The sequence below is a fragment of the Homo sapiens genome, chromosome 4, assembly GCF_000001405.40.
Source record: "Homo sapiens chromosome 4, GRCh38.p14 Primary Assembly".
Lineage (NCBI taxonomy): Eukaryota > Metazoa > Chordata > Mammalia > Primates > Hominidae > Homo > Homo sapiens.
Window position 1 is genome coordinate 13,362,819 of NC_000004.12, and position 14,003 is coordinate 13,376,821.

General features: G+C 36.6%; 1 protein-coding gene across 3 annotated transcripts in view; it reads right to left on the reverse strand.

Moving 5' to 3' along the window:
• RAB28 (RAB28, member RAS oncogene family) overlaps window positions 4,906–14,003 on the reverse strand; it is a 116,617-nt gene continuing 107,519 nt past the window's right edge. Inside the window, exons 6-8 of one of the 3 annotated variants that reach the window (NM_004249.4) lie at window positions 13,727–13,804; window positions 7,053–7,147; window positions 4,906–5,832 (exon numbers count right to left, since the gene is read on the reverse strand). In NM_004249.4, the coding sequence (NP_004240.2) occupies window positions 7,058–7,147; window positions 13,727–13,804 (168 nt within the window). In that variant the 3' untranslated portion in view covers window positions 4,906–5,832; window positions 7,053–7,057. Of the gene's footprint in view, window positions 5,833–7,052; window positions 7,148–8,976; window positions 9,050–13,726; window positions 13,805–14,003 lie in introns of all 3 variants that reach the window. The other 2 variants (NM_001159601.2, NM_001017979.3) reach the window with 2 other exon arrangements.

Consider the following 14,003-nt stretch of genomic DNA (forward strand, 5'->3'; position numbering starts at 1 on the left):
AAGAGGCTTAGGTGAGGGCAGCTAAAGGCTGGTGTATAGGCTGTGCCAGTGATCTCTGCCCAGCCTACAGGCCTGAGTCAGCCTCAATCTACCATGTGGGAGGCCTAAGAACATTCAATATGACTTGGAAGAAGGGCTTTAAAACAAATAGTCTGCCTTTCCTCGTTTCCAGCTCTCCAGCATGAAAAACTGATGCTACAAAAGGCTAGGCAAAATGGAATGTATGTGCTTCTGAGCTCAGCCCAAAGGGCCCTCCTCTACTGAAAGGCTCACTTCCCAGGAGAAAGGATGCTATGATGTGAAGGTTGTTACACTCAAGGTTTTCTCTCCAAGCCTCACCTCCTCTATTAAATCTGTCCCCCTACTCTTTAGGTAGAACTGACCTGCTGTCTGCCCTGAATACACACACCACAGATGGATTCTCTCTTGATACCTCGAGTGCCACAATGCCCTGCTAACTTACCTGCTTCCTCCTCCAGCCCCAAATCTCCCTGAGGGTAGACGCTGTGCCTCCCATGTTCCTAGGGCCTTCCTAGCCTGAACACTATGATTTTGCTCTCTGAAAATGTTAGACAAATACTTTTCTCTCCTAATTTCATCAGCTTTACATCCAGAAACAGGTTTACAGTCAGAAAGGTTGTAACCTGGGCTCCAGAGGGCTGAATCCAGTCCATCCATAGGGCTACTACCATAGGGCTATGAATCCAGTCCATCCATAGGGTCCTACCAACCGTAGGGCCACCAATGTTGTACTTTTATCACCCATTTTCCAGGACAATAAAATGCCTTGTTTTTAAAAAGAAATAGTCAGACAATTTTCTAAAAGAAGGAAATAAAATGACTTGCGGAAGAAACATACTTTTTCTAACTGGCACAAAAGCTCTGTATAAGCTAGTCGTGGCCCTATCCATACATAGTTTTTAGCTGGTCAATATAACTTTAAAAACTGAATCAAAATGACTTTAGGCAGGGCACATGCTCTCCAGCTTGTCAATCCCCACCACTCCCTATGATCTTACACTCTTAACCTCTGTTATATTTATTTACCACCTAGCCCCGGAAGGCTTGTAAGTTTAAAACCCTGCAACATGATACGAAACCTCATAAAGCAATCCCTTCCATCTTTGGGAAGCAACTGTTTTCAAGGTTCTTTATTAGGCTGAATGGAAATCTTCCCATAGCCTCTCTCTACCCCTCCTATTTCTGGGGTACTCTAGGTCCTATAGTACAAATACAATGTTTTTCTAAAGCGCACTCTCTTACTTATTTGAAGACTATCAGCAGAGTCTGTGTGAGGCCTTCTCTTTTCCATATTAAACATACTGTCTTCCTTCCACTATTTCCTATGACATTGAATCCCCTCACTATAATCTGAATGTGATTTATTATCCCCTTAAAGAGGGGCATCCATACAGGCATGGTCTAATCCCTTGCAATTCAAAGTGTAATCCAAAAGCCAGTAGCATTTGCATCACTTGGGAGCCTGTTACAAATGCACAACCTCAGACCCACCCCACACCTACTGAATCAAGATCCACAGGTGATTCATAGGCACACCCCTAATTAATGCAGGCTACGATTATGCTAGTTTGTGAGAGCAACTGTGTTACACTGTCATCCCTGTTTCCTGTTATTTGAAATTCCTGTTTTTTTCCCACACTCACTGCTAAGTTACATCTTCTTATATTAGTTTGATTGCAGCATGTAACAATCTGATTACATTTTGATGAGTCCTAGACTATGAATTTGTGGGCAAAACACAGATCATATTCATCTCTGTTTCTGGTACCAAGCAAAGGCCCTAGTACATAATAGGTGCCAATATAAGAAGTAACCAAAAAATAAAATAACACTGGTCTAAATGATAAAAATAAATAAATAAATAAAAATTAATTCTCTGCTGAACAGTTCAAGGCATGGCTGGATCCAGGGCTCAAAGATGGTGACAGGGACTTCAATCATCGCCACTTTCCACCTCTGCTTTCTTGTCATCAGCACCATCCTCGGTCGAGCTCTCCCCTTGTGGCCTCAAGATGGCCGCCAGTGTCACTCAGAGCCACAGCCTTTCTCATTCCAGTCCAGCTGGCAAAGAGTCTTCTGAAAACTTATGGGGGCAAACATTTCTTTTTTCTTTCCTTTTTTCAGAAACCTTAGCAAATGTCCCCTCCAATTTCATTAGCTATGATGGAGTTATCAGTTCATTTCAGAGCGAATTACTGGGGCGAGGGGGTTTAATATCCTGATGGGTTTAATTCAGTGAGGACTCCCTCATGAGGAGCTAGAAGCAGTTGAAAATTGAGGGAGGGTTCTATCAGGAAATTAGGAAACTGTTTGGAGAGGCGACATGTGTGCTGGGGAGGTGACCCATGGATGTCTACCGTAATGTTAAACAGGTCTGCATTTCAGTTTCCTTTAAATCTTGCAACTGTTGTTCAGGATATCCGAGATTACAGCAACCACTAGCACAGGTTATGGCCAGAAAACTTTTCTATTTTTAGACGACACACAAACTATTCTGCTCCATCACATTGTTTCAGTGATCAACTTTAAAGGGCCCTGGCTTACCTCCTCCTGGAATAATAAAGCAGTCACAGGAGTTCTTTGGGCCACTCCAAAAACCACTCCAGAGTGGTTGGCCACACATAATAGAGGGTGCACTTGAAAGGCAGCATCCAATGACCAGTTCTGGTTGAAGACTTCTGTGTTTTTCAAAAGCTCAATAAGCAGCAGAAGTGACCACAATGTGTTTGAAACTTTATAGCATGTGTCTTCAGGAGACAAAGTGCCTAAAACTAGATGGAAAGACTTGTAATTTTTTAAATTAAAAACTACAGACAGGAGAGGTAACAAAGTAAAATAAGCATGAATCCTACATTTCTGTTTCAAAAATAAAACCCGAGGTATGGGGAAAATTGTAATATGGAATTCAGAAATCCGCTTTGGCCATATGCTGTACTGCATCTGCTTTCCTTGAGGCAAAAGGCTCTCAACGACCACTCATGCTCAGCTGGGAGAGACATAATGCCAACGAGACTAAAGGCAGGCAGGAGGGTACAGAGGGGCAATTCCTGTTTCATCTGAGTGATCAGAGGGCAAACTTCCCACCACCAGCCCCTGTGGACACATGCTACTGGTCAAGGTAGTCACTGTGCGAGGGCGGATGGACCACACAGGCCCATCGCCACTTCTCAAAAGAACAGCTTAAACTAAGACCTATTTAACTCTCAGGAAGGGCGTCAGTTATGTGATCTTCACAAATGAAAGGCAGCCTAAAACCAGCACCAGCGTAGTCCATTCTGTCACAGAACCAATTTGTGTAGCCCCTGGCTCTACCCCTTACTGAAGGAAGGCCTTTCGTATCATCACTTAGTCTCAGCTTCGGTTTCCTCTAAGAGAGGAGGCAATAATTCCCCTCTCACAGACGGGTGTGAAAGTAAAACAGTCCATGTAACAAATACCTAGAAATGTTCAGGCCAAAGAACGCCTACCAACGTCATTTTCTTCCCTGGCCCCTGCTCAGTCCCACGCAGTGCTCTAAGTTTATAAACACACCACTAAAAAAATTCGGTCTCATAGACCTTTTGCAATTTCTCTCTGAAATTGCAAATTGAAATTCATACATATGTGTGAAGTCATACTTTATCGTACTGTAGTAATTGTATTGGCCGGAAAAAAATTTTTTGAAAATCCTTCAGTTTTCACATAGATGGAGGTGAAATCAACACAAAATGACCAAGCGGAGCATGGCCTCACCTTTTACTAAATGTAAAGCCTTGGGCAAGTTTAGTTTAATAGAAGGCTTCAATCAATCACAGCTTTTAAAATAGCAGCAATAACAACAAACATCTCTCCCACTAGATTGTAAAGTCCTCGAGGGTTGAGAGCTCATTTATTCAACTTTATATTCTATTAACATCCCTAGTCAACTGGCCTGCACATATTAGGAAGATAAGCTGCAATAGCTTGAAGGGTTTATCACTTGAAGGTCTTAAAAGTCTGCTAAATTATTATAAAATGAAAAATATAAAAATCAAAATAGAAAGAGGCTGGACCCACTAACAACTAGAGTCACAGTTTTCAAAATTTTTTAATTAATTTTTTTTTAATTTCTCAGCCTAGAGACAGATCTATCAAGTCTAGCTCTATGATTCAATGATCTCTGGCAAGTTACTTTTTCTGTCCACACTTCGGTTTCCTTAGCCACGTAAGGAAGGGAACAAAGTTTTCCAAAATCCCTTACACCTCTAAAATTAGGTATCCAAATTTCTACACACACTTGTGGCAAATCTATGACAAAGGCACGCTGCCAGGCACCATAAGAGACATGAGAGAGAAGAGACTAGAGCAGCCCTTCAATGAGCTCATGGATTATTAAACAATAAAAAACAGGGGCACAAATAGCAGCGATTCAAAGCAGAAAGGGGCAGTGGCTATCAGAGAGGTACTGATGTGGAACTGTGAGCTGTGGAGACAAGCACTGGCTTTGTGGAAGGGTGGCTTTTGTTCCCACTTCAATGTAGCAAATATGGAGCACCAGTCATGCCAGGCACTGTGTCTTAGCACAAAAAAAAAAAAAAAAAAAAAAAACTATGACCAAGACAAACAGAGTCCTGTGGAGCATCACAAAACAAATAGGAATGAGTCCATAGCTCTGTTTGCAGAGAAGTGATGATGGTACAGTGGAGTGGCATGAGAAGAGGTAGAAAGGCAGGAGGCAGCTGATGTGGAGCCCCTGAAATGCCAAGCTATGGAGTCTGGATTTTAATTGGTCCAACAAAATAACCTAACAATTCTAAGTGACTGACTATATACTAAACTTCACAGAATCACTAATTTTGTATCCAAATGCACACTGCCTTTCTGTAACAAAAAGGAAGATGTCTGAAAGAAAATTGCCAAAAGAAGTAATTTAAATAAGTTTATTTGTGAAAGAAAAACATCTGAACATCAGGTACAGTCTGATCCACAATGTCATAACTCATTCTCGGGAGTACTCTTATGCAGTTTGCAAGAGAAATTCCACGTGGAGCATCAGCTGAACATTTATCAGAATTCAGAAAGCCTTCAAACCTGAGTATTACACAATACATAACGACAACGATACAGTAATAAAAATACAATATCAAATATTACTTTGTGAGTTACAAACTACAATATAAACAATTTAGGCCCTTTTTTAAAAAATGAAAAAATATTTCTATTACAGGCTTATTTCAAGCATTTTCAGTTAGAAACAGCTTTATATACTTTTACTCACGATAGCGAAAGAATGTCTTCATAAGTATCTGTAGGTAAAATATATTACTTGCTTAATGTTTGCACTCTGAAGTATACTTTGACACATACAAGTTCCGATAAGAGAATGAAATTGCTGTGGCAAAATCCTGGCTGATGATCAAGACTTGGAGAGTTTTCATATTAAGTTAAAAAAATTTACATCAATGAAAAAAGAAGCAAGGACATACAAAGAAACAACATCATTCTTTTGCAATGAAGCAGTCTAATTCCAGGGAATGGGTTTTCCATTTTGAATTCAAAGTGTGTGGTCCCAAAGTTGAATTCTTTCAAATCCAAGGAGCTGCCTGCCACTGTGAGGCAATAGCAATGATGAAGCAAGTTGGGAGTAAAGTGTTAACTGAACTACAGAGATGGTCACTGATAAAACAAGTTCCTAGAAGTCCTCGGGCCCACCCAGAGGTGAAGGGCAGCCAGAACTATCAACACAAAAGAAAAATGCGCTCACTGAACTGCACACATAGAGCTTCTAGGAGGGTTAACAGTCCTTGACATAGGTTCCTGGTTGTAGTTTACAATATCTGCCTTCACCACCCTCTGTCATAAAAGAAAACAGAGTTATTATCAGGATATCAGAACATTTAGAAAGAGCTCCTTAAAGTATATTTTTATTTTCTGAACTTTGCTGAACTTCTGATGATGGACACCATAAATGAAGCAGGAGTTGATATTAAAAGAATAAGCCAGACAAACAAACAAAGAGTGGATTTTTTTTTTTCAAGAAGAGAATGGCAACTCAGCTACTGAGTTGTCCCTGGTTTTATGACATTAACTTGAGGTTATCATAAGTCTAATGAAAAACTGACAAATCAATAATGAAAAATTAAACCCTGATAATAATTTAGAGCAAAATAAATAAATCATTCACATATATTTTAAATCATAGAAAAGAACTCATCATTTCAAAGTAAAAAATAGCATTATTGATTAATATTTCCATAAGCCATTATATTTAGCGAAAACTTTTCATTGAATGTTTACAGCAGTTTGTGAGTTTGGAAGAAGACATTTAAATGTTAAAGAGGATTCACATATAAAGCAGAAATATTCTGAGCAACCCATTTTTAAATCTTTTCCAACTTCTAAACCTTTCCTCCAAAATCCCTATTTCCAAATGGCTCACTATTGGTTATGAATACAACTCTAACAAAAAAGAGTATGATGAAAAAATTTAGAAAATTACTTCATATTCATGTTTTTAAAATAATTTAAACCAAAAGATAATTTTAACTCTTCCCTCCTTCCCTCTAACACACACTTCAAGGAACATCTAAAATGATACACTTAGCAATATGCTTAATATTCATCTCTAAGTAATACTTTAAAACAAATCCTTTACTGTTTTCAACTCTACAAAGTCTGCACACACAAGCAGACAAAGAAGGGCAATTCAAAGCAAATTTTAAAAATACTCTTTCAATTACCAAGCTATTTCAGGAAAAATGGTAAGGAATGAATAATGAAATAACTGCCTCAATTCTCCACTTCACTGCACATGTAATAAACACAACCATAAAGACAAATATGTTTAAAAGTAACTGAAATGTTATTTTAATTTGTTCCCAATTTCTTAATTCATGTCTCCTGGCAGAGGACCAATTTTTTAGTTCTAAATCAAGACGTAGACGTGATATTAACTTCCAATAATGTACAATAATCATCTGAACTTCCCTATTCATAGGGAATAAAGAACAAGATAGCATTCAATGGTTCTCCCTTCCCACCTCCCCAAACTGTAATAATTTATCACTTAATACCTGCACTACTGTACTGAACAGATTCTACTCTGAGTAGAGGTGGTATGTTGATTTTCTTCTTCCGGGTACTTCACTATTTCTGCCCTGACAATACGCTGTCAATTCCATACAACATAAATGAGACAAAGAAAAAAGAATTAAAAAAAAAAAGACAAAATGGAAAGTATGTTCAATGACTGAATATAGAAGGAAACACCAAAGTAGAAAAATAAAATTAACATATAAATGTAAACATGTCTCACACACACACGCACACACAAACAGCAGAATGTACACATACAAAAGGAAAGAAAAGGAAAGGAACAAAGACCCAAGAAACATTATTCTTTGTAATTCTATTTAATTACTGAAATAGATATGACCACTGAACTTCCCAAATTGTAAGTTCCATTTTTGATAACACAATTATATATAACATATATAATGCCCAGAATTTCAGAAGACTGTGAAGAATTATGAGGTTTTTCTATGTTAAAGTGCAATAAAAGGATTAATTCCATTTCCATTAACAAGCTTTACTGAAGATATACTATGTGCCAGTCACTCTATACTGTGAAAGTATGGGCGACTTACACAGAATCTATTCACAAGTTGCTGAGGCCCTAATGGAAAGAGAAACACATATACAACTAATTGCCATACAAGTTAAACACTTAACTAGTGGACTTATAATATGCTGTGGGAACACAGAGGAAGGAGTAATTAATTATCTTTGAAGGTGGGGAGAGGAATGAAGACATCAGAGGAAGGCATATGCCATTTACAATTTTTATATTTAATACTATTTATTACTTGTCCAAGACTTCCTTATGATGCTCGCTCCCCCATTCCTCCCGATCCTAACCTCCATACTTCCAAATTCCATACAGAAACAAACAAGTTCAAAATGCAGTTGCAGGTCATGTAAAAAAAAAATCACAAGGTACAATATTTAAGTACAATAACTGTTGCTTTCAAATATCTAAGAGTTTTACTAAATAAGAAACTATTTATTTTTACCTTGTTATATTCTTAATTGCTGCTACCCTTAGGATAAAAAGACCATATGTGACAAATATGTATGACACAGATAACATGTTACCCAAATATTTTAGATTTAAACCTATCCTCGCTATCCATGTGATTGCAAATAACTTATTTCAGGACACATACCCTTCATAATAGCATCTATTAATTTATTAAGATAGAAAAGCATCTTAATATGAGCTGCTGTGTGTGACTACATTTATAAATAAAGATCCTATAAACAATCGAGAGTAAATGAATAGGATGCTGAGGCATACGAACATATTAGCCTTGGGTGGCTTCTGCTTCAGTTCTTTAGCAACAAGCAGCATTAACTTTTGGACAAGACTCATGATTTACTAGGCACTCTGCCTGATGCTATCAACAGAAGCATTACCAACTGCCAAATGAGGTATGAATCGGGGGGTACATCAGTGAAATATTGTATACCATTATCTAACCTCCCCAAACCTAACTGTTTCATGCCAAACTATGGGTTACAATGAAGAGATGGGATTTTCATAATCAGTAAGCAACTCATTAATCCAACAAAATGTTGGTTTAAGTCTTATCCTATAAACACAACCAGATTACTGTCCTGTGCTCAAAACATTTTGGTCCAAGTACTGACTAATGTAAATGACTTGGATTTCATTATTAATTTTCATCAAATTAATGAAGAATTAACAAGACAGCATCATTCTCAGGGGCTTTGACTCTTTGACATAAAGCTTTGTAAAATGTTTCCGAACTGTAAGCCATAACCAAGGCTCTGCAGATTCCAAATTTCACTTTCTATGATTAGAAAAACATAATTTCCATGTCATAAACTTCATGGTAGGTGGTTTCACTGTAGTCAGCTTATTTAAAAGCCATTTATTGATGTTTTTAGAGAAAATGTTACCTATAAAATACCAACCTTTATTTTTAGAGCCACAAAGCACACTCGATTATTCTCTATTAGTTGATGAAATGAAAATAATGAAATGGCCCTAAGAGGAAAAGAGTTATATGGGTGAATACAAGCTTAACCCTGATATTTTCAAAGAGCATTTGCCAAGTGTATACTGGAAATGGAAGTGGCAGCCATGGAGGGCATAAGCAAGAAAGCAACCTATGGGTTGGGGCACAAGGTGTAAGGAGTATAGATGGACTCTGTGCAAAAGCCATAGTTTGTCATGGCCAGGATATGGAGTAAACATACCCTGAAGGCTAAAACATCTGTCACTGTCATTCATTCAAAGCCAACCACCATCCCAGATATTACAGACATTTAGGTAAATAATGCATAATCTCTGTTTTTTTGAGATGCTAAGAGTCTAGCACAGAAAACAGATGTGTAAACTACTAAAGAATATTCTGACTGGCATACATTCAAAGTGCAACAAGATTACAGAACACAATTTAAAGCATGGATATAGGATATAACATGTTAAAAAGCATAGTACTTTGCACAGAGTGGGAGTTTTTTAAAAGCTACTCTTCTATATAACGAATGGGCTATTATATGCTGCCAGTAACAAAACATTGGGCAAGTTATTTCATGTCTTCTGTCTTCGCAATTTCCTAATCTATAAAAACAAGGTCTACCTACATGATCTCTAAAGTCCCATCTGGTTTTGAAATTTTATTTAAAAAATTAATTTAAAAGGTGAATAGGAAAAAGAAAAAATGTTATGTAATATGAAAATCCATTAAGCAACGTTCAATATCTGAGGGTTAGAGTAGTATGTACAAAATGAGAAAATATCCCCCTCAAGAAAACAAGTGGTCTTTAGGATAAGAAAGAAATCCCAGTACAGTTTTAATAAACATACTGGAGAAAATGATCGTAAAAAATTAACATGTGGGTAAGAAGAATCTGAGGAAGATCAACATTCAGGTAAAGCTAAAAAGCAGAAAGGATTCTTAATACCAAAGGTTAAATGGGTACTTGTACTGTACAATAATATGCAAATTAAGGTAACTAAAATCTTGAGCATGTCTATTACATGCCAAGCCTTACATGAGATACTTTCAGATACAGTCTGAAAATAATTTGAGGGGACAATAAGGAATATATATTTTTAGCAAGTTTAATGAATATCTCAGACATGATAGAAATTTTTGGTATTTTAAAAACTAATACATACCTAGTTCAAACCAAGTAGAAATTCACAGTTTATTAATTGGCAAGTAAAAATGCTGAGGCTTAAAAATGTATTAAGAATTCTTAACACCAAGTAGATATGGCAAAACTTCCTTGCAATTCAGACTGAAGGACACAAGACAGGACTGAAAGGACTATGCTTTTTCTTTATCAATTATCTAATGCATTCTTAAAGAGCCGATTGCTGGATTTCCTAAACAACGGCAATTGTAAATTTATTTTTTCTCCTAAAGGTCTATGTACTTTGCAAATAAAAAATCTGAACAATCTGGGAAACTAGAACACTTGTTAACAACAGTATCAATTCTTACACTACCTTAGAGGATAATGGTTGGTAGTGGAGAAGGGGAAGACTACATAAATGATGCAAATGAAACTATTAACCAAATTGGGAATTGTGAAAAATGGATCTATAGTGTTCATTGTTTAAATGTTTGGCTGCCCCACTTATTCTGGGAGCTCCTTGAGGATAGGGACTTTCTCTTATTCATTTCTGTATCCCCAGATTCTAGTGTGGCCCCCTGGCATTACACAGACCCTCAAAATATGGTTACTGTGTTAATAAACTGCATTCACTTTCTTTTCTCTCTCTTCCTCTTCCTTGCAAAGCTTGCAAAGTGTGTTGATAACTCATTTTATATAACTCCCAAATAGGAGCAATCTAGGTTAGAAATAAACTAGCAGAATCTCTTTAAATTGTCAGTGAATGAAACTAGGACTAAAACCTCACTGTAAATATTTATGTCACAAACTAAATTATTATAGTAGAGCATCAACATCAATGGGACTGGTGAGTCTGCCATTTAACTCCTTCTCTATAGAATAATACAAAGTACTTTCAAACATTCCCTTGAATCCCCCCAGTAATCTTTCAAATGTCGCAACAACCACATGCAGTGTGTATGTGTGTGTATATATATGTATGTATGTATGTATGTGTGTGTGTGTATATATGTGTGTGTGTATATATATATAATCTGCACTTCTTAGTCTTTTAGATGAACTTGCCAAAATGTTTCCACTGAGAAATATGAATTGTAAAATCAATAATTTAATTGGCAAAAACACCAAATTCATCAGGATCAAGAAAGACTAATAAGGATTCTTGCTATACACAAAGAATTTTGACAAACATATAGAAGAGTGCTGCAGTAACTTGAATTCACCTTCAAATGAATGCATTAAGAGTAAATGCCACCAACAAACTGAAGATAGAATTAAACCTCAAAGCATAATAAACAAAGTAGATGTGCAGGGAGGGTAGGGAACTATGTAGTTAACACATCTAATATCTCTTTATTTAAAACACACTAGGATATTAAGCCCATATCTAAAGTCAAAATAGTAACCCTGTTGATCTTGCAACATGAGGGACCTAATGTTAATAAAGCTTCCCCCAAATTTTGCCTCCAGTTGTTTCATTTCTCCAGAGGTCTCCTTGTATCTGATCACCACTGCACAGCTCAGGCAGTACAAGGAATCCTTCCTCAGTGCAGCCCTCTCACCTGTGAAGCACCAGCCCACCATTCCCCTTTTCAGAAAGACAACCAATCATTGGGTTTCTCCTGTCTTCATTCCTCCAGGCAAGAAACCTCAGGGTTATCTCAGACTTCTATCCTCTCTTATCCAATAATTCCACAAGCCCTATTGGTTCTTCTTTAAAATCTCCCTTACATCCATCCAACCTTTCCATTCCATCTTGACTTTGGTCTTTTTCACATGGTAGCAGTAACTCAGTCTCCTTACCTCAATCTCCCTCCCATCCAACGACATATAAAAATATCCCATTAGATTAATTCTACCTAAAAACTGCTTTCATTTATTGCCCTACCTCAAAATGATTATAGGTCTAATAAAATTAATCAACTTGGCATTCATAAATCCCCAAAATCTGTTCTCAAACTCTTTATACTCTAACACAAATGGTCATTTATTTTAACCAAACTGCTCTTCTGTTTCCAAAATACAACCTAACCTTTTCTACCCAGGTATATTATTCATACCAGCTCCTCTTTCAGCCATTTTCTCCCTTCCCACTCCAAACTGCCCAGTACACTTTCCCCCAGTATGGCAGAGTGGAAATACCAAGGGCATTGGTGTCAGAGAGACCTGGGTGCAAATTCTGGCTCCACCACTGCCCAATTAATGGTTAGTGATCAAGTTACTGAGTCTCTCCACAGTCTCAGCTTCCTGATCATAAAATGATAAAATTTCACCTGATCCAGGGAGTTATTATGAGGATAACTGAGATAACACAGTCCCCCTGGCACATAACCTATTAATTTTCTTTACTAAAAGCAGGGACATTTTAAAGTCTTTTAATTCTTTTTTAGACCCACCACTATACTGAGTTTACAATGTATGACCAATAAATCACTTATGATAATCATAGACTCTCTAACTAAGCAGAGACAAACATTATTTAGACAGAGAAGCTAAAAAGCAAACAAATTACTTGACCTCTGGGATCCAAGGTCTGTGTGATCAAGCAAATCATGGTGACTTCTCTTTCCTATATTCTCCTAGGCCCAAAACAAGTAACCACTTTTTCTGTGTCTGGGAGCTATTTAAACATCACAAAGTATCTTAGCACTGTATTTGGCCATACCAAGTGCTAAAACAAATGTCTTTGAATGATGGGAATTAAAACTAGCAAACTTTTAGAGTTTCAAATGTTTTAATCAAGTCTTAGAAACAGCCATATCAGTGTAACAATTTCAAATATTTGCTTCAATTGTTTTAAAACACACACACACACACACACACACACAGAGAGAGAGAGAGACCATGAGAAAAAGATACAGAACTAACTCTAAAAGAATTCAAGAAAAATTTAAGGATGGGAAAAGATAATTATACTTTTTTAGTTGCACAGGGTGCGAATGGGGTGGAAGAAATTGAGCAAAAATGTAATTAGTTTGTTACTTCTAACCAAACCACTTCTGAAGCATAACTTTATAGGCTCTTACTCTGATTTTTCATTCTATCAAACATATGAATTAGTGGGAAATTATAGTGGTACTTTAAATTTCTTGGCTGCCGCTATGCATGTTTTTTTCTTAGCCTAAGAAAACTATCTAGGAATAGTGAAAAAACATAGAAATCCTTACTAATTAATAACACTACTAAACTGACAATAAAATAACATCAAAAACTAATATCACTACAGTCAAGGATGTTTTAAAATTGAATAGAGGCTCCAAAAGGATTTAAATAAAGAAGTGCCAAACAATGTGGTCAGCACCTTAACTCATTAGTTAACCACTAATAAAAATTTTCTTATACTAGTATCTTTTTCCCAACAAAAGAGACAAAATGAGGTTTCAAGGGTATCATAATTTGGCAAAAAGTTAACATTCTCCATCTTCTGCAATAAACACTGATTCATACATACAATCTATTCCCAAAGCTTTTAGAGATACGTACACAGAAGGCATAAATGGGAAAGAATTTATGGGTGAAAATTAATGCCTTGTAAGAAATTCATTAATTTTTTAAATATAAAGTTCAAGGTAATCACCTGTGACTGTTCTATTTCTGCTTTGTTTAATTTGATCCCAAGGATTTCAGCAGCAACTTTCTGAAAGCACAGGAAGACCTACATAACAAAAATGGGTTTAAATGATTTAAAAGAGGCATGCTTAAGTTATCTTCAAATAAACAGAATTTTCTTAAAAATGATAAACAGCAATAATTGCAAAAATATGATATAGCAGGTGATTCCAAAAATAGCTTTATTTGTCAAATGTAGCAACATTTTAAATATAATAATTTTTAAATTATAAAGCCATAATTTA